General features: G+C 55.3%; 1 protein-coding gene across 6 annotated transcripts in view, besides 4 other annotated features; it reads left to right on the top strand.

Moving 5' to 3' along the window:
* Positions 1 to 18,428, top strand: part of CELSR1 (cadherin EGF LAG seven-pass G-type receptor 1) — a 176,447-nt gene that overhangs the window by 140,654 nt on the left and 17,365 nt on the right. For 5 of the 6 annotated variants that reach the window (NM_014246.4, NM_001378328.1, XM_047441624.1 and 2 more), the window contains exons 13-23: positions 221 to 362; positions 2,705 to 2,825; positions 5,151 to 5,334; positions 5,680 to 5,781; positions 6,481 to 6,575; positions 7,468 to 7,677; positions 10,382 to 10,565; positions 12,281 to 12,424; positions 14,917 to 15,121; positions 16,012 to 16,179; positions 18,250 to 18,376. In NM_014246.4, the coding sequence (NP_055061.1) occupies positions 221 to 362; positions 2,705 to 2,825; positions 5,151 to 5,334; positions 5,680 to 5,781; positions 6,481 to 6,575; positions 7,468 to 7,677; positions 10,382 to 10,565; positions 12,281 to 12,424; positions 14,917 to 15,121; positions 16,012 to 16,179; positions 18,250 to 18,376 (1,682 nt within the window). Of the gene's footprint in view, positions 1 to 220; positions 363 to 2,704; positions 2,826 to 5,150; positions 5,335 to 5,679; positions 5,782 to 5,891; positions 6,440 to 6,480; positions 6,576 to 7,467; positions 7,678 to 10,381; positions 10,566 to 12,280; positions 12,425 to 14,916; positions 15,122 to 16,011; positions 16,180 to 18,249; positions 18,377 to 18,428 lie in introns of those variants that run through there. The other variant, XM_011530553.2, reaches the window with a different exon arrangement.
* Positions 4,839 to 5,661: an enhancer, noted in NCBI's record as "H3K27ac-H3K4me1 hESC enhancer chr22:46787203-46788025 (GRCh37/hg19 assembly coordinates)". NCBI's record gives its function as "activates a minimal SCP1, AML or CMV promoter by ChIP-STARR-seq in naive H9 embryonic stem cells {active_cell/tissue: H9 hESC(naive)}" and the evidence as "EXISTENCE:reporter gene assay evidence [ECO:0000049][PMID:30033119]".
* Positions 9,627 to 10,826: an enhancer, noted in NCBI's record as "BRD4-independent group 4 enhancer chr22:46782038-46783237 (GRCh37/hg19 assembly coordinates)". NCBI's record gives its function as "activates an origin of replication core promoter dependent on BRD2, P300/CBP, MED14 and CDK7 cofactors, and independent of BRD4, by STARR-seq in HCT116 cells {active_cell/tissue: HCT116}" and the evidence as "EXISTENCE:reporter gene assay evidence [ECO:0000049][PMID:35650434]".
* Positions 12,505 to 12,688: a silencer, noted in NCBI's record as "fragment chr22:46780176-46780359 (GRCh37/hg19 assembly coordinates)". NCBI's record gives its function as "represses an EF-1alpha promoter that drives an FKBP-Casp9 reporter gene in an ReSE screen in K562 erythroleukemia cells {active_cell/tissue: K562}" and the evidence as "EXISTENCE:reporter gene assay evidence [ECO:0000049][PMID:32094911]".
* Positions 14,876 to 15,375: an enhancer, noted in NCBI's record as "H3K4me1 hESC enhancer chr22:46777489-46777988 (GRCh37/hg19 assembly coordinates)". NCBI's record gives its function as "activates a minimal SCP1, AML or CMV promoter by ChIP-STARR-seq in naive H9 embryonic stem cells {active_cell/tissue: H9 hESC(naive)}" and the evidence as "EXISTENCE:reporter gene assay evidence [ECO:0000049][PMID:30033119]".

Below are 18,428 nucleotides of genomic sequence, written 5' to 3'. Positions count from 1 at the left end.
CACCCTCCTTGGGGCAGCCCGGGAAGGCCTTCCTCTCTGCATCACTAAGTCTAACCCGCCTAACGCTGTGTTTTCGGGGACTCTGTGGCACTCTTCCTCTTCCCTCTGCTGAGTACCAGGGAAAGTCAGATCTTCTGGAGGGGACAGGTTGCTCCAGATATTTTAACGTGGAAGGTCTCGTGGATTGTGGGTGGAGGTAATGCTGGCTCTGTCCTTGCAGGGTACCTTGGAATAAACTGTGTGGATGCCTGTCACCTGAACCCCTGCGAGAACATGGGGGCCTGCGTGCGCTCCCCCGGCTCCCCGCAGGGCTACGTGTGCGAGTGTGGGCCCAGTCACTACGGGCCGTACTGTGAGAACAAGTAAGAGCAGCCCCTGGTGCCTCCCTGCACCTTCAGAGTCCATGTGGCTGTGTTCCCTCGACTCAGTGTCTTCTCTTTCTTATTTTGACCCAAAGATATGTGTGATTCTGGGTAACAGGGACATATTTTTTTTTAATTTGGCATGAATTAAGTGAAAATCAAATTTTTTTTAATTTTTATTTTATTTTTATTTTTTTGAGACAGAGTCTTGCTCTGTCACCCAGGCTGGAGTGCAATGGCGCGATCTTGGCTCCTTGCAACCTCTGCCTCCTGGGCTCAAGTGATTCTCCTGCCTCGGCCTCCCGAGTAGCTGGTCCTACAGGTGCCCGCCACCATGCCCAGCTAATATTTTGTATTTTTAGTAGAAATGGAGTTTCACCATATTGGTCAGGCTGGTCTCGAACTCCTGACCTCAAGTGATCCACCTGCCTCAGCCTCCCAAAGTGCTGGGATTACGGGTGTGAGCCACCACGCTTGGGCAATGAGAATCAATTTGGACGTCTCAAACTAACCCCATTGGATCATGTGTCCACACCTGAAACATGCAAATGACTCACCTGGAGTCCTCACTGGGCCCAGAGCAAACAGGCCCCATGAGATGCAGGGAGACGCATGTGGTTTACAGAGAATGCTTTCTCTGTCGAGTCGCTGGGCTTGAAGTCATTTCTGATGTGTGCGGAGATCCTAGTGTGGTTAGGACAGGCAGCAGCGTGCTCTCTGGGCTCTGGGCTCTGTACCCTTTGCACGGGGATCGCTGGGTACAGGTGCGTAGTCATCACAAGCGTCACTTTGTCCAAGGTGGAGCTGCTGGGTTCTTCATAAACCAAGGTTCCAGGCCGCCGTGGAGGTGATGCCCCTGTGGCTCATTGTCCTCAGCTGCTGGTGGCCATCAGGTGCAGGGACACCTGCTATGCTCCGTTCTTTGTCCTCCCGAGCCTAGAGCAGGTGCTGTGATCCCGGCTGTGACCCCATGAGTGGGAAGCAGCCTGTGCCCTGGAGCTGGTGACCTCACGAGAAGATGGCACCACATCATTCTTGGATATCAGCAAGATGTGATGCCAGGGAGAGCGCCGCGGAGGTGCCCTGGGAGTGGAGAGGGAGGTGGGAGCCAGTGTGGCTGAAGCGGGAGGGCATTCTGGGAGCGAAAGCAACAGAGCCAAGCTGGAGAGGAGTAAGGGGATGAGGCTGATCTAGAGAGGCCTGGGTGGGGACAGAGGTGGGCCCGCAAGCCAGGAACAGAATTCGGCTGTGTGGAGGCCGTGGGGGCCCAGCACTAAAGTGGCAGGACCTGGTCTTAGGGAACCCCCACCTGCCGCATGGAGCACAGCTTGGAGCAGGGGGAGTTGCCAAGAGGCTGATCCAGCATCTCCATGCCCGGCGCCACAGTCACCACTGCTGCAGGGGGATGAAGGTTCTGGGGCCCCCACGCTGCACACACACATCCATAAACGCCAGACTCTATCTCTGGCCTGGTTGTCTTTATGACCCTGATTTGTACACAGTCCTTAATACTTGCTCGCCAAGTGAGTGAATGCTAGAGGCTGGCAGCTGGGTGGAGGGAACTTGGTTAGCCAGGGGGGATTGCAGGAGCCCGCAGGACACTCGGGCGGGGCCGTTGCAGGCAGGTGGGCCTTCAGGTGACTGCGCAGGTGCAGCCCTGTCAGGAACAGGTAGGGAGACTCATGCACAGCAGCGGCCAGCACCTCGGAGGCCTGGCTTTGTCCCTGCAGTGTTGCTCATCTTCAGTGTCTGTTGCTCTCTGCCGGGGGAGGCTCAGGGAGGCAGGACTGGCTTCTGCTGGATTCCGAGTGCACGGGCGCATGCCGCCGTCCTAAGGGGCATGCTACACCAGGGCATGGCTGCCCTGAGCATCTGTGGGTCTGGGGGCCAGGGGACCTGGGGGACAACAAAAGCTACAAAACTCCCTGTTTAGGAGCTTCCTGCGGGCATCTCATGCTGGCATTCACCCCAAGACCACTTTGAGAAGTTGTGCCAGGCAGCTGAGCTCAGTCTGCCTGGGGCTGCATCGTGAAAGGCCAGCCTTGCAGTGGGGGTTCATTGTCATTAAGCCCCAATGAGTCAGGCATCATGTGGACGTGGGGCACACGGTGGACAGAGATGTCATCCCAGTCGCTTTGGGCATGGTGGATCTGTGGGTGGGGGGTGAGGTTGGGAGCCGGTAGAGGGGAGACTGAGGCCATGTAACGTGGAAGGGGAAGCTCCCAGAGCTGGACCCAGCCAGGCCTCCTGGGCAACCATCTCCATGCTGCCTGCAGGCCTCTTCTCATTCCAGAAAGCACAGTTACATAAACCTTCCAGCTGCCCTCTTATTTTCCCCACAGACTCGACCTTCCGTGCCCCAGAGGCTGGTGGGGGAACCCCGTCTGTGGACCCTGCCACTGTGCCGTCAGCAAAGGCTTTGATCCCGACTGTAATAAGACCAACGGCCAGTGCCAATGCAAGGTGAGGCCCCGCCCCCATGATCCCTGCATGCTGTGTTTGCTCACACACATGCACAGCTGCCCCTAAATACACACACGCCTTCACATACCCTGTCGGTACACACTCACACCCCTGCACACACACCTGTGCCCACTCACATCACATTTGTGTACAGATGTGGTTTTTGGTTTCCTTGCTGCTCCCCCGTGCTCTGTGAATACTCCATGGCTGCTTTCCACGTGTAAACTACGGGTTCAGCCCTGCCAGCCCCCGCCCGTGGAACAGGAATCCCTGCCTCCTCCCGGCCTACTGCCCATGGCTGTGGGAAGCCCACCCGTTTCTGAGGGCTGGCTCATCTATGGCACCACCCCGGCCCTCCTGGCCTCCTGGTTGGCCATTTTCCTGGTCTTTTTTTTTTTTTTTTTGAGACAGAGTCTCGCTGTGTCGCCCAGGCTGGAGTGCAGTGGTGCGATCTCGGCTCACTGCAGCCTCCGCCTCCCGGGTTCCAGCAATTCTTCTGCCTCAGCCTCCTGAGTAGCTGGGATTATAGGCGCCCACCACCATGCCCAGCTAATTTTTGTATTTTTAGTAGAGACAGGATTTCACCATGTTGGCCAGGCTGGTCTTGAACTCCTGACCTCAGGTGATCCGCCCGCCTCAGCCTCCCAGAGTGCTGGGATTACAGGCGTGAGCCACCGTGCCTGGCCATTTTCCTGGTCTTTACCAAGCTGGTGTCCCATGATGACAGCAGTTTTAAAATAGAAAGTGTCACTAAGTGCGTTATGCCCCACGCCTGTCCAGGGCGGTCAGTCCTAACCTGCATGCAGCACGGAGCTCACATCTCGTGTCTCCAGAAATGCACACGCGTTCTCAGTGCAGACTCTAGGGACCCCTCCCCAGCCCTCTCAGGATACATCACCTCCTTCAGGATCTTCGTGTACACCACGGCCATGGCGCTCACAGTGACTTGAAACCCAAATGTTAGGTCTGAGGGTAACAGGAGCCTGGGCGAGGGACGTGAGCTTCCTGCAGATGCGGCTGGCCCTAGGAGGGAAGCTGGTACCAGGGCACCCTTGGATGCCATCTCGTGATGTCAGTAGTGTCCCCCCCCAGTGCCTGCGGTGGTTCCAACAGCAAATGGGACTTGTGTCCTGAAAGGCTCAAATTAAACAGCTCTCCTGGGTCAGGGTCGGTCCACACGTCACCAGATGGCGGTGGTGGCATAGTGGGTGGCAGAGCAGAGAGAACATGGGGAGTGCATTGGCGAAAACTTGCCTACGATTTTTTTCTCATCCAAAGTTATAGGCAGGGCGTGGTGGCTCATGCCTGTAATCACAGCTACTCTGGAGGCCGAGGCAGGAGGGATTACTTGAGCCCAGGAGTTCAAGACCAGCCTGGGCAACATAGTGAGACTCCCATTTCTACAAAAAATAAAAACATTAGCTGAGCGTGCTGATGCTTGCCTGTGATCCCAGCTACTCAGGAGGCTGAGGTGGGAGGATCACTTGAGCCCTGGAGGTTGAGGCTGCAGTGAGCTGTGACTGCACCACTGCACTCCAGACTGGGCAACACAGTGAGACCCCATCTCAAAAAAATAAAAAAACAAAGTTATACAAAATGTAATAAAAACCCATAAAGATCGCAGTCACCCCATGCGCCTCCCAGCTGTGATTGTTAGTGTTTTAGCATCTCTTCTGGGCCTGTCGTTCACTGTCATTTTACACACAGTCGGAGTCCCCACCTGACACACAGGTCTGAACGTTGCTCACGAGTCTGCCCAAGTCACAGCCTGGTCACAGCCTGCCCCGTTTTCCGGGGCGGGGTTGAGGGGGTGCTACTTGGGCCTGGGGAGTCCCGGTGACCAGCCCAGGCAATGTAGCTGGTAAACGGCAAGGGTCAGGCATGAACCCAGGACTTTCTGAACCCGAAGTACAAGCTCTTGATTGTCACCCTGACCCACCCAATGGTGGACGTTCAGGTGGCTTCTAATTTTTCAAAACAACTTTAAAAAAACGCCCAAGGGCTATCCCCATACGTAAGCCTCCATTTGGATCTCTGATTCTTTTTAGGACAAATACGAAGGTGCCCACTGTTGAGACTTGTTAAGACATGAGGGAGGGCGTGCTTCCCGGAAGAACTGCTCTCCTGGGTCCGGCCTTGTGGGGCCTTGGGAGGCAGCCCCCGTTGGGTGTGGGATGTGGGCAGAGGGTAGCCATGAGGGGTGGGATGGCTGGCGGCCAACACACACACCCGGGTGGGAGTCTGGACGTCGCTCGGGAAACACGCTGCAAGGTAGGGCCTCTCCCGGGCATCTGAAGTCACAGGCCCTGCCTCTGGCTTTTGCAGGAGAATTACTACAAGCTCCTAGCCCAGGACACCTGTCTGCCCTGCGACTGCTTCCCCCATGGCTCCCACAGCCGCACTTGCGACATGGCCACCGGGCAGTGTGCCTGCAAGCCCGGCGTCATCGGCCGCCAGTGCAACCGCTGCGACAACCCGTTTGCCGAGGTCACCACGCTCGGCTGTGAAGGTCCGCGTTGCCCCTCGACACCCTGCAGGTTACAGCGCGGGGACAGGCTGCTGCACTGGCGTGCACGTGTGTGCATGCACGCTGGGTGTTTGGGGGACCCTGGGCTCCCTCGTGTTCTGAGTTCTCTTGACCTTCTAGAAACCTGGTTCTGCGTGAGGGGGTGTGGGTCAGAGCCTGGTCACCCCTCTCCAGCTCTGACATGGATGGGGGCAGGGGAGATGCTAGGGTTCGGTTCTTGGTGGGAGCAGGGCCTCCTGCAGGGAGGCGCATGCAGACAGTGGTGCCTGTTTGTGGTCGTGGGTGTGGCGTGCCCCGCTGAGCAGACTTCTCTCTTCTCTACCCCAGTGATCTACAATGGCTGTCCCAAAGCATTTGAGGCCGGCATCTGGTGGCCACAGACCAAGTTCGGGCAGCCGGCTGCGGTGCCATGCCCTAAGGGATCCGTTGGTGAGTCGCCGTGGCCTGTGTGTAGGGAACTGAGGCAGGCGTCCTTGTGGGAGGAGCCAGTCGAGATGTGGGGACTCATGGAATGTTTCGTGTTGAAAAAATATCCGCAGGCAAAGTGCTGGGGAGAAATCCGATCGCCTTTTCCCTACCAGGAAATACACAAAGCAGGCAGAGGGCGCAACAGAAACATGAACAGTGCAGCGCGTGTGGGGACGCCCGCCAGTCAGGCCCGGCCAGTCCCTGCTCTGCCGCTCAGGCTGGGGCACCGGGACAAGTGGCTTCACTGTTCATAGCATCGGGTTACCTCTGTGAAATGGGGACATTGACTGTGTCCACTCTGTGAGGGGCGTCTGGAAAATCCAGTGAGGCAAGGAAAGGCCCAGCCGAAATGGATTCCTGGTGCATGGGATCGTGGCTGCCGGCAGATGGTGTTGCTGATTTCTTTCCTCACGGACTTGCTCGGAAGTGCTGGCTCCTGTTGGCTGGGCTCCCGAAACGCCTGGTTGTCAGTGTCAGAGCAGCTTCGGCCGTGGCCCTGACATGAAAGAGGGGCGCTGGTGTCGACCTCCTGGCCCCCATGGGGTTCTAACCACCACGCAGTGTTCTGGGTTTAAGTATATTCAGATTGTGGATTGAAATACACAAGCATTGATCAACAGTTTGAGTTTCAGGCTTTGCACACCTGCTCTCCTTCCCCAGGAAATGCGGTCCGACACTGCAGCGGGGAGAAGGGCTGGCTGCCCCCAGAGCTCTTTAACTGTACCACCATCTCCTTCGTGGACCTCAGGGCCATGGTAGGGGCGCCTCGGGGATGTGTGTTCAGCAGGGGCACGTGTGTGTTCGTGTATGCGTGAGAGAGTTTGTGTGGGCCGAGGCTCCTGGGCTGGGGAGTGTTGGGGCGGCTGGGATGGCGCAGGGACAGCCCCACGGGCCCGCAGCCTGGAGCCAGCAGGTTCCTGTGGACTTCGGGGTGTTGGCACCTGAGCCAGGCACCCCCACGTGGACTTCTCTCCCCCAGAGGACCCAGCTCTGTGTCTTTGGTTCTGAAAACACGGGGTCCCTGCATTTGACTCCATTTGCCCTCTGATCCTGCCCTATTTCATGGCTTTTGTTCCCACGTCTCCCACTCGCTATCTTTCTCTGAGCCCTCTTTGGCCCACCAGACCCTCGTTTCCATGGTCTAGCTGTCAGCAGTGCTCATTTTTGGGCTTTTTGTTTTTTGTTTCTTTTTTTGGAGATGGAGTCTCACTCTATCTCCTAAGCTAGAGGACAGTGGCACGGTCTCAGCTTGCTGCAACCTCTGCTTCCCGGATTCAAGCGATTCTGCCTCAGCCTCCCTGGTAGTTGGGACTTACAGGTGCCCACCACCACACCCTGCTAATTTTTTTATTTTTAAAATAGAGACATAGAGTAGAGTATTTTCAAAATAGAGAGTAGAGACGGGTTTTCACCATATTGGACAGGCTGGTCTTGAATTCCTGACCTCAAATGATCTACCCGCCTTGGCCTCCCAAAGTGCTGGGATTACAGGCGTGAGCCACCATGCCCAGCCAGGCTTTTGGATTTTTTAAAGTTCCTTTCTGACAAGGAAACTTGCACCAGACAGTAGTGAGTTGCTGAGTAACAGCAGGGACTGAAAGCGGCCGAAGTGGGTTTGCACACATCACGACTGCCTCCCTGTTCCAGAATGAGAAGCTGAGCCGCAATGAGACGCAGGTGGACGGCGCCAGGGCCCTGCAGCTGGTGAGGGCGCTGCGCAGTGCTACACAGCACACGGGCACGCTCTTTGGCAATGACGTGCGCACGGCCTACCAGCTGCTGGGCCACGTCCTTCAGCACGAGAGCTGGCAGCAGGGCTTCGACCTGGCAGCCACGCAGGACGCCGACTTTCACGAGGTAGGCGGGTGGCCGCCACCCTGGCTCGGGGACACTCGGGGACACTCGGATGCCCGTGGGTGGGTGCTGTGGGGCTGGGCGTCTACCTCAGTTCGTGGAAGACGGTTGTGTCCAGGATCCCCATCCTCATTTCTCAAATGTGAGCCCTGGCGGGTGCAGTGCCTGACTAAACTGACGACGAGCGTTAGGGAGTGTTCTGGAAGGAAACATGCAGGTCACAGCCTTGCTGGTGATCCTGGTAGTGCCTGTAGTGTGATCTAAGTGGCTTCTAAGGGATTCTAAGTGGCCCACCTGCATCAGCCCCTCTCCCTTCCATGCAGCCTGTGATGGAGTATCGTCCACCCATTTGACAGGTAAGGAAACAGAGGCACAGAGAGCTAAGGCGTTTGCCCAAAGGCACAGCTTGTAAGGGGCAGGGCCCGGCAGTGGGCCCCCATGTCCACTCCCACCCGCAGCTCTGAGGTCCTGCTTTCAGAGGGCCACACCTCCGCCTCAACCCTCTGGCTGTGTGTGTGGAAGTTGTCATCCCCTGAGCAGTATCGTTTTAGGGTGAATGCAGAGGGGACTCACGCAGCCTGATATTTGGAAACTGCTTTCGGGGGCTCCAGAAGTTTCGTTGTGGCTCTGCTGCAGGCCTCTTCGTCCAGACAGGACCCCCAGAGGAGTGCCTGTCCACACAGAGCCCATGGGGGACACCCTGTCCCTCCCACCCATCCCCACGGAGCCCTCAGGGACCTCCTCATCCACAAAGGGCCTCCAGTCCATGCAGGGCCCCCATGGAACCTTCTAGTCTGCATAAGGCCGCCAGAGACCAGGCAGGGTCCCCTTGCTGGGATTTGAGTCCCAGCCTGAGAGTTGGGCCAGTGGCGTTTGTTCTCCATGCGTGACTCCACAAACAAGTTTCCTTTCTGGTTTCTTTTTCTTTATTTCTTTTTTTTTTTAAGATGGGGTCTTGCTCTGTTGTCCAGGCTGGAGTGCAGTGGTGCGATCTTGGCTCACTGCAACCTCCACCTCCCGGGTTCAAGCAATTCTCCTGCCTCAGCCTCCCAAGTAGCTGGGATTACAGGCGCCCGCCACCACGCCCGGCTAATTTTTGTATTTTTGGTAGAGACAGGGTTTCACCATGTTGGCCAGGCTGGTCTCGAACTCCTGACCTCAGGTGATCCACCCGCTTCAGCCACCCAAAGTGTTGGGATTACAGGCATGAGCAACCGTGCTCAGCCCTGGTTTCTGTCTTGGGTGTGGTCCCCAAGCCCCTGAGCACAGCCTCATGCCTCCACCCAGTCTTTCACACAGACCCTGGGGTGCACAGAGGCTGAGGGTCACCCTCGGAGGAGCTGTCCACATGTCCACGGCGGCCTCAGTGTGGGACCTCTGCGCAGCCCAGGTTGTGGTGGTTCCATCACTGCTTGACGTGGTTGGTGGAGTTCAGGAGGAGTTCTGATGTAATAACCAGGGGCATCGCCACATGTCTTCCCTGCCTTAGCGTCTTGGGGTATACGTGGAAAAACCCCTGGCAGGGCTCACTCTGCCAGAGTCCCAGCCTCTGACATTTGAATCACCCACAGTCTCTCTGGCTTATTTGATGGGGTTCAGGATTTATGAAAATCACACATTAAAAAATGACTTCTGGCCGGGCGCGGTCGCTCACGCCTGTAATCCCAGCACTTTGGGAGGCCGAGATGGGCAGATTGCCTGAGCCCAGGAGTTCGAGACCAGCCTGGGCAACATGGTGAAACCCTGTCTCTTCTAAAATATGAAAAAAATCAGCTGGGCGGGGTGGTGGGAGGCTGAGGCACGAGAATTGCTTGAACCCGGGAGGCAGAGGCTGCAGTGAGCCAAGACTGTGCCACTGCACTCCAGGCTGGACAACAAAGTGAAACTCTGTCTCAAAAAACAAAAACAAAACAAACAAACAAAAAGACTTCCTTATCTATTTGAATTCAACTTTGATTAATGTTTGATCCTATTTATAAACTTAGACCATGAAATTCCCCTAAGTATTTTAAATGGAATTAATATATGTCATGTAGTTGATTTTTTGTTTTGTATTTCAATTGTTCGGCTAGCAAACAGACCTTCCAAGCATTTAAGCAGTGCTTGTACATCTAGTAAATTAAGCTAAGAATATGAAGCATCTTTAATTCTCTAGATTTTAATATACTTTGTGAGCTTAGTAACATTTTTTTATTCCTCTTAAGATAAACTTTTTGAAAAAATATTTGGGAACTAGGCCAGGCGTGGTGGCTCACGCCTGTAATCCCAGCACTTTGGGAGGCCGAGGCAGGTGAATCACCTGAGGTCAGGAGTTCAAAACCAGCCTGGCCAACATGGTGAAGCCCCGTCTCTACTAAAAATACAAAAATTAGCCGGGTGTGGTGGCACATGTGTGCCTGTAATCCCAGCTACTCGGGAGGTTGAAGCAAGAGAATTCCTTGAACCCAGGAGGCGGAGGTTGCAGTGAGCCGAGATGACACCACTGCATTCCAGCCTGGGCGACAAGAGCGGAAGTGTGTCTCAAAAAAAAACACAAAAAACAACAAAAAACAAAAAACAACTAATATTAAAGAGCACAGTCTAAAGTGTAGGGCTGGAATGAATGAATGAGCCCACTAGGCAAGCAAAGGCTTTCAGGGCAGGTGTCCCTCCGTCCCACGAGCCAGGCCTCCGCAGGCTGAGTACTGAGTGCTGTCTGTCTGACCAGGACGTCATCCACTCGGGCAGCGCCCTCCTGGCCCCAGCCACCAGGGCGGCGTGGGAGCAGATCCAGCGGAGCGAGGGCGGCACGGCACAGCTGCTCCGGCGCCTCGAGGGCTACTTCAGCAACGTGGCACGCAACGTGCGGCGGACGTACCTGCGGCCCTTCGTCATCGTCACCGCCAACATGAGTAAGGCGCTGGCTGCGTTGGGGGTGGAACCCTGCTACCATCAGGGGTGTGCCCCAGAGCTAGGCCCCCATGGGGTGAAGCAGGTGGGCTCCCGGCCCCCCCTTGGCCATGCTCTTAGAAAAATGATTGTGAGGCCGGGCACAGTGGCTCATACCTGTAATCCCAGCACTTTGGGAGATCGGGACAGGCAGACCACATGAGGTCAGGAGTTGGAGACCAGCCTGGGCAAAATGGTGAAACCCCATCTCTACTAAAAATACAAAAAGTAGCCAGGTGTGGTGGTGCATGCCTGTAATCCCAGCTACTCAGGAGGCTGAGGAAGGAGAATCACTTGAACCTGGGAGGCAGAGGTTGCAGTGAGCTGAGATTGCGCCATTGCACTCCAGCATGGGTGACAGAGCGAGACTCCATCTCAAAAAAAAAAAAGCCGGGCGCGGTGGCTCACGCCTGTAATCCCAGCAATTTGGGAGGCCAAGGTGGGCGGATCACAGGGTCAGGAGATCAAGACCATCCTGGCTAACATGGTGAAACCCCGTCTCTACTAAAAATACAAAAAAGTAGCCGGTCGTGGTGGTGGGCGTTTGTAGTCCCAGCTACTCGGGAGGCTGAGGCAGGAGAATGGCGTGAACCCGGGAAGCGGAGCTTGCAGTGAGCCGAGATCATGCCACTGCACTCCAGCCTGGGCGAGAGAGCCAGACTCCGTCTCAAAAAAAAAAAAAAAAAAAAATATTCGGCAGGTAGGCCTCTGTTTCCTCATCTGTAAATGGAGCCTTTGGGAAGACAGTCTGTGATGACGTACCCGTGGCTCCCAGGGGACAGGTCCCGGGCTAGGGAGATGTTGGGCCATGATCTTGGGGGTCCGGCAGGGCTTCCAAACCCTCAGGTGTGAGACTCTAGAAGGGTGGGTGTCGAGGACCCCGCCTCACTCCAGGCTCACTGTAGACAGGTGTAAGTACAGGCGGGATGCAGGAAGTTGGAAGTCAGTTCTGTTCTAAAGATGGTCAGTCAGCTGGGCGTGGTAGTTCACACCTGTAATCCCAGCACTGGGAGGCTGAGATGGGCAGATTGCTTGAGCCCAGGAGTTCGAAACCAGCCAGGCGCCATAGTGAGACCCTGTCTCTATTAAAAATAAAAAATAAAAATTAGCCAGGTGTGGTAGCATGCTCCTGTATTCCCAGCTACTTGAGGCTGAGGTGGGAGGATCGCTTGAGCGCAGGAGGACGAGGCTACAGTGAGCTGAGATTGTGCTACTGCACTCCAGCCTGGGTGATAGAGTGAGATCCTGTCTCAAAAATAAATATAAGTAAATAGGCTGGGCGTGGTGGCTCATGCCTGTAATCCCAGCACTTTGGAAAGCCGGGGCATGCAAATTACTTGAGGTCAGGAGTTTGAGACCAGCCTGGCCGACATGATGAAATCCCATCTCTACCAAAAATACAAAAAATTAGCCAGGCGTGGTGGTGCCTGCCTGTAATCCCAGCTACTTGGGAGGCTGAGGCAGGAGATATTGCTTGAATCTGGGAGGCGGAGGTTGCAGTGAGCTGAGATTGCGCTACTGCACTCCAGCCTGGGAGACACTGCGAGACTCCACCTCAAAAATAAATAAATAAATATGGCCAGCCAGCGTCAGTGTGACAGTTGTGGTCATTTTGAAAACAGCAGGGGTTCAAGAAAGCCCTGGGAGTTATGTCTGATTAAAGGAACTGTCCCCCCAGTTCTTGCTGTCGACATCTTTGACAAGTTCAACTTTACGGGAGCCAGGGTCCCGCGATTCGACACCATCCATGAAGAGTTCCCCAGGGAGCTGGAGTCCTCCGTCTCCTTCCCAGCCGACTTCTTCAGACCACCTGAAGAAAAAGGTAAAACCGCTTAGAAACCTGCTGCTGCCCTCGGAGTCCCCAGCGTTCAGGGAGGGGAGGGCCCCGCTGCGGGCATCGCAGGACCTGCGCACTGAAGATCTGGGCCAGAGTGTTCCGAGTGCTCTCTGGTGCCAGGTCCTGTTGGTGACAGCAGGTTGTTTTGTTCAAGTGCTCAGGTACAGGCTGAACATCCTAATCCTGAAATCTGAAATGCCCCAGAACCTGAACCTTCTTGAGCACCAACCTGACACTTAAAGGAAATGCTCATTGGAGCGTAAGCATGAAACAATAAAAAAATCAAAATCCAGGCCAGGCGCGGCGGCTCACGCCTGTAATCCCAGCACTTTGGGAGGCCGAGGCGGGCAGATCACCTGAGGTCAGGAGTTCGAGACCAGCCTGGCCAACGTGGTAAAACCCCGTCTCTACTAAAAAATACAAAAAATAGCCAGCTGCGGTGGCGGGCGCCTGTAATCCCAGCTACTCAGGAGGCTGAGGCATGAGAATTGCTTGAGCCCACGAGGCAGAGGTTGTAGTGAGCCGAGATATGCCAGCCTGGTAAGACTCCGTCTCAAAAAAAAAAAATTCCAAAATGTTCCCAAGCATTTCAGCTGAGGGATACTCAGCCATGTAATTGATAATGTCAGAAAGAAAAGAGAACTGAAATTTGTATGTGAGCTGGTTGTCTTTGGTGTGCAGTGAAAAGCTGCTTCTAGCTGGGCGCAGTGGCTCATGCCTGTAACCCCAACACTTTGGGAGGCCGACACAGGGAGGATTGCTTGAGCCCAGAAATTCAGAACCAACCTGGGCAACATAGAGAAACTCCATCTCTACTAAAGAAGTTTTTTTTAATTACCTGGGCATGGTGGCGCATGCCTGTAGTCCCACCTACTCAGGAGGCTGAGGCGGGAGGATTGCTTGAGTCCGGGAGATGGAGGCTGCAGTGAGCTGTGATCGTGCCACTACAGCCCAGCCTGGGCAGCAGAGCAAAAACCTGTCTGGTTGGGGGGAAAGCTGCTTCTAAATAGAAATAGGCATTTTAGAATCACCTTCCCCTTCCCGCAAAAAAACAACAACAAAAAAGCCAGAATGCTGTCTGTGTATGAACAAATCTTCAATCCTGGGTTGAGATTATGATTCAAAACAGTTTGAACATTTTGAATTTTCTTAAGGTGCTTTTTTACAGATCCATGACAATTACTAAAACCTTCCCCAAATAAAAAGGACGTGAAAAGGTAAACTCTGTAATGGACAGTTTAAAATTGGAAATGTTGTTAGTAAATGGATTTTGTCAGGTATATGATGTTATCTCATGTGTCTTAAAAAGAGGGGTGACTCTGATGTGGGGTCATGCTTGAAACTAAGAGGACGAGGTCCCTGACTCTCCATTGCAGCCAGCTCTCTCTGGAACTAATAGAGTGAGAACTCGCTCATTACCAAGGGCGGGGCACCAAGCCATTCCTGGGGGATCCACACCCATGACCCAGACACCTCCGACCAGGCCGATTTTCAACCCTGATCACATTTCAACATGAGATTTGGAGGGGCCACACATCCAAACTGCATCAGATACATTCATGTTTAAACAGTCCATCTCCAGAACTCTTTCCAGCCTGCAGATCTGAAACTCTAGCCCACGAAACACTAACTCTCCTCCCCAGCCCCTGGTGCCTACCGTTCTTTCTGTCTTTGAATTTGACTCCTCTAGGGACCTCCTGTAAGAGGAGTCACACGATATTTGTCCTTTTGTGATTGGCTTATTTCACCGAGCCTAATGTCCGCTAGGTTCACCTGCGCCGCAGCAACTGTCAGACTTCCCCTCCTTTTGAAGGCTGAGTAATATTCCATTGTGCGGATGGAGCGCGTGTTGCTTATCCACTCACCTGTTGACCCATGCCTGAGTTGTTTCCACCTTTTGGCCTGTGTGAATGGTGCTGCTGTGAACATGGGCATAGAAGTATCTGGGTCCAGGCCGGGCGCGGTGGCTCACGGCTGTAATCCCAGCACTTTGGGAGGCCGAGGCGGGCGGATCATGAGGTCAGGAGATCGAGACCATCCTGGCTAACAAGGTGAAACTCTGTCTCTACTAAAAATACAAAAATTAGCCAGGCGTGGTGGCGGGCACCTGTAATCCCAGCTACTCGGGAGGCTGAGGCAGGAGAATGGCGTGAACCCGGGAGGCGGAGCTTGCAGTGAGCCGAGATGGCGCCACTGCACTCCAGCCTGGGCGACAGAGCAAGACTCTGTCTCAAAAAATAAATAAATAAATAAAAATAGAAGTATCTGGGTCCCCGCCTTCAGTTCCTTGGGGTGTATACCCAGAAGTGGGCTTGCAGGGTCATGTGATAAGTCCTGTTTTTGATTTTTTGGGGACCCACGGTACTGTTTTCTGTGGGACATCTGTTGGTTTTTGAGAAGCACCTGCTGGCACTGACGGCAGTCTTGGGGAACACAGGTGCTCCTGCCAGAGTCCTCACCTTCTGCTCACATTGCAGAAGGCCCCCTGCTGAGGCCGGCTGGCCGGAGGACCACCCCGCAGACCACGCGCCCGGGGCCTGGCACCGAGAGGGAGGCCCCGATCAGCAGGCGGAGGCGACACCCTGATGACGCTGGCCAGTTCGCCGTCGCTCTGGTCATCATTTACCGCACCCTGGGGCAGCTCCTGCCCGAGCGCTACGACCCCGACCGTCGCAGCCTCCGGTAAGGCCTGGGCACGGGGCACACGGGGAGGGCCCGTTCTGGAGGCTCCTGAGGCTTCCACAGGTCAAAATCCTGATCCTGATCAAGCACAGGTCTTCACAGTGACATTTCACCGTGACCCTGGCCCAGAGACAGAGACCATTGCCTTGTGGTGGTCCTTGGAGGGAGATTCTGGGTCTGCCACAGGATACCACACCCTGGAACATTGCACACCCTTTGCCTGGGCTCATCCTGGTGTTTGTGCCAGAAATGCCCCCTCCCCAGCATACACCCCATCTTGTGCCCAGAGGGACCCCATTCTGTCCCCACACACCTGGCCCAAGGCTGTCATGGGTAGTGCCTGCTGCTGGCCCCGGGGTTAGGTCTGCTCAGCTAGTCCTGGCTGGAAAGGATGAATGTCCCAGAAGCAGCTTTGCAACCTGCTCGGTGGGAGCAGCCCAAGGCTCCGCCCTCCTTCTTCCTGCCATTTCCCAGATACTTCCCTGGCTCTGGGATCCTCGTGTTCACGTGGTTCTCAGTGACTGGGTGATTCATCCCCATGAGCTGCCATTATTTTGGTGTCTTTTGCTGGACACTGAAACCATCCCCTGTGATTCTGCCATTAGCTATTATGGGCTGTGACATCTTTGCACCTGTGCCTTCTCTTTCTTTTTAAATTTCTGAAGTCCCAATTTGACCCAAAGGTGACACCTCTCTCTGTGTGCCCTGTCAGTGATAAAACCTGCTCTAGGGATGAAGATACTGTGGGGTCCGTGGGTCCGAGCTCTCGGAGTGTGATTCTGTCTCCCCTAGAAACACATCATGGCGTGTCCTCAGGGCATTTGTGCGCGGGATTTAAGCAGATGTTTCCTCACCGTGTTTGTCCCCATGCTCTGGCTTCTTGACCTCAGGTTGCCTCACCGGCCCATCATTAATACCCCGATGGTGAGCACGCTGGTGTACAGCGAGGGGGCTCCGCTCCCGAGACCCCTGGAGAGGCCCGTCCTGGTGGAGTTCGCCCTGCTGGAGGTGGAGGAGCGAACCAAGCCTGTCTGCGTGTTCTGGAACCACTCCCTGGCGTAAGTGTGACGCCAGGAGCCCCATGTGAGGGCTTTGCCAAGGCAGAGTGCCCCCGCAGGGTCGGGGGCTCAGTGGCAGAGCGCCCCAAGAGGACGGTCTCTTGTGGTCTGTGTTTCCCCTTTAAGTCCCCCGTGGGGGCAGTGAGCCTCCTGCTCTGCTTCTGTGGGAATATCAGAGTCCTCCCCTAGATGTCCACACACAGATGCACACAGACCTGCACGTGGAGATACAGATGTGCAGGCGCACAGAGAGATCCCTCAAGGCTGACACCCAGGAAGGGGACCCCTCACCTGCGGGACTCCCGACATGCAGCGGCCAACACTAGTGTAGTGCCCAGTTCACCGCCGGATAAGACAGGCCCATTCCGGTCACACACGGGAGACAGAACCCAGAGACTGGCCTAAGAGCCCATCTGCTGACGGTCTTGCCCGAGAGGCTGACACAGTCTAGCTGTGGGGACTGGCTTCACCCCCAAGAGGCCACACCTGGCCGCAGCACAGTTTATCTGGCCCGTTTCAGAAGCAGCGTCAGAGAGTCACAGAGTGGCGAACGCAGGAGAATCTGTGCGCGAGAATCTGTGTTCTAGCATCCATGCAAGCGAGGGAAAGGCGTTTCGTCGTTAGAAAAATGCAAAATGAGTGATTCTCACCCACACGTGAGACTGGATTCAGCACCACAGTGTGGCTCCCGTCTGCTGGGAGCCAGTAGTGTTTGTGCTTTGGTTTTGCTTTTTAGCTGCAGAGTTCACGTGAGGTGTGGACATTTGAGTTGCTCTATCGTTACAGGGAGCTTGCCTTTTCTCTGCTGGTTGGTTTTCACTTTTGCTGTCTCTGTTTAGAAGAAGGCACTGGAACGGGGGTGTGGTGGGAAGGGCCCTGTTGCCGGGATGGGAGCACAGTCAGGGAGGGGAAGACCCACTGCCTCCCCACACACCGGGAGGGAGTGCCGGGAAGGGGAGACGCCATGCAGGAGTCAGGCTTGAATCTGCGGAGCGTTGTGCATCTGGGGACGTCTGTGCAGCAGGAACGCTGCCCCCATCACAGTTGCCCTGGGCACAGTGAGGAGCCGTGAGTGGGGGCTGTGCTGGGGGTGGCGCTATGGTGAGCGAGCCCGGTTAGCCCAGCCTCATTCTTCTCCTGCTTCTGTGCTTTCCAAGTTCTAGTTAATAAGCAACCAGCATGGCACCTGGAATGTAGTAGGCGCTTGGCTTATAAAAGAGAGAAGAAAGGAACCCATTCCACCACGACGGACGTCAGGCCCGGCTGTCTGTCTTGGGCATTCATCTGCGTCCTGGCAATTAGCTCCAGCTCTAATGACCTGCTCTCTGCTTTATGTTGCACTTATTATTCCCAGATTGTAAAGTTTGTGCCAAACATATTAATGCTAACATCCCATTTTACAGATTAGCAAAGTAAGGATCTGAGAGGTTATGTGATTTTTCCCAGAGTCTGCGAGGGCAGGGCCCTGTCTGAAGCTGAGACACACCTTATAACACCTTGTTATTTGGGGCTTCCCATCAGTAAAACGGGAGTCATAATGGGGCCCTGGCTTCTGGGCAGTTCCCATAAAACATTGTGCAATCTGAAGATGAAAGTGTCAGAGGAAGGTGAGATGTCCTTTCTGAGAGCGTCTGCCCTCAGAAGGAGACGGGACCGCATCGCAGCTGTGTGAACCCCGGGCAGTGGTTCCAGCAGCGGGGCGGACGCGAGACAGCCCCATTTGAGTTTTGCTGCTAGATGGCACGTAGAACTTGAACTTCAGAGGGTGCTCCTTGGAGGCCCTGACCAGACACAGAAGGGAAGGGAGACTGTTCCCATGGTCCTGCCTCCGCGGCAGTGAGGCTGCTCTTCTTACAGCCAGGTGGCTCTTGTCTTCGGTGTAGGGGGCTGGTGAGGAACACGGTGGGGAGCAGCCTGCGAGGGCGCTGGGCTTTCAGCACTCACGGCACCTGCTGTTTGGTTTGGCCAGGATGGCCTGGGAGCCCCCAGGGCTGGGCAAAGGCTGCCCTTTACAGACTCATGGGCAGAGGGAACCGTCTTACCCCTGCCCCTTCTCTGTCCTCTCCGCAGCGTTGGTGGGACGGGAGGGTGGTCTGCCCGGGGCTGCGAGCTCCTGTCCAGGAACCGGACACATGTCGCCTGCCAGTGCAGCCACACAGCCAGCTTTGCGGTGCTCATGGATATCTCCAGGCGTGAGGTGGGCATCCTCCCGTGGCCACTGTGCCCTCTGGGCCTACCGCCAAACCTGC

The sequence above is a fragment of the Homo sapiens genome, chromosome 22 (assembly GCF_000001405.40).
Source record: "Homo sapiens chromosome 22, GRCh38.p14 Primary Assembly".
NCBI classification, from domain to species: domain Eukaryota; kingdom Metazoa; phylum Chordata; class Mammalia; order Primates; family Hominidae; genus Homo; species Homo sapiens.
This window is presented reverse-complemented; position numbering and strand designations above follow the sequence as displayed.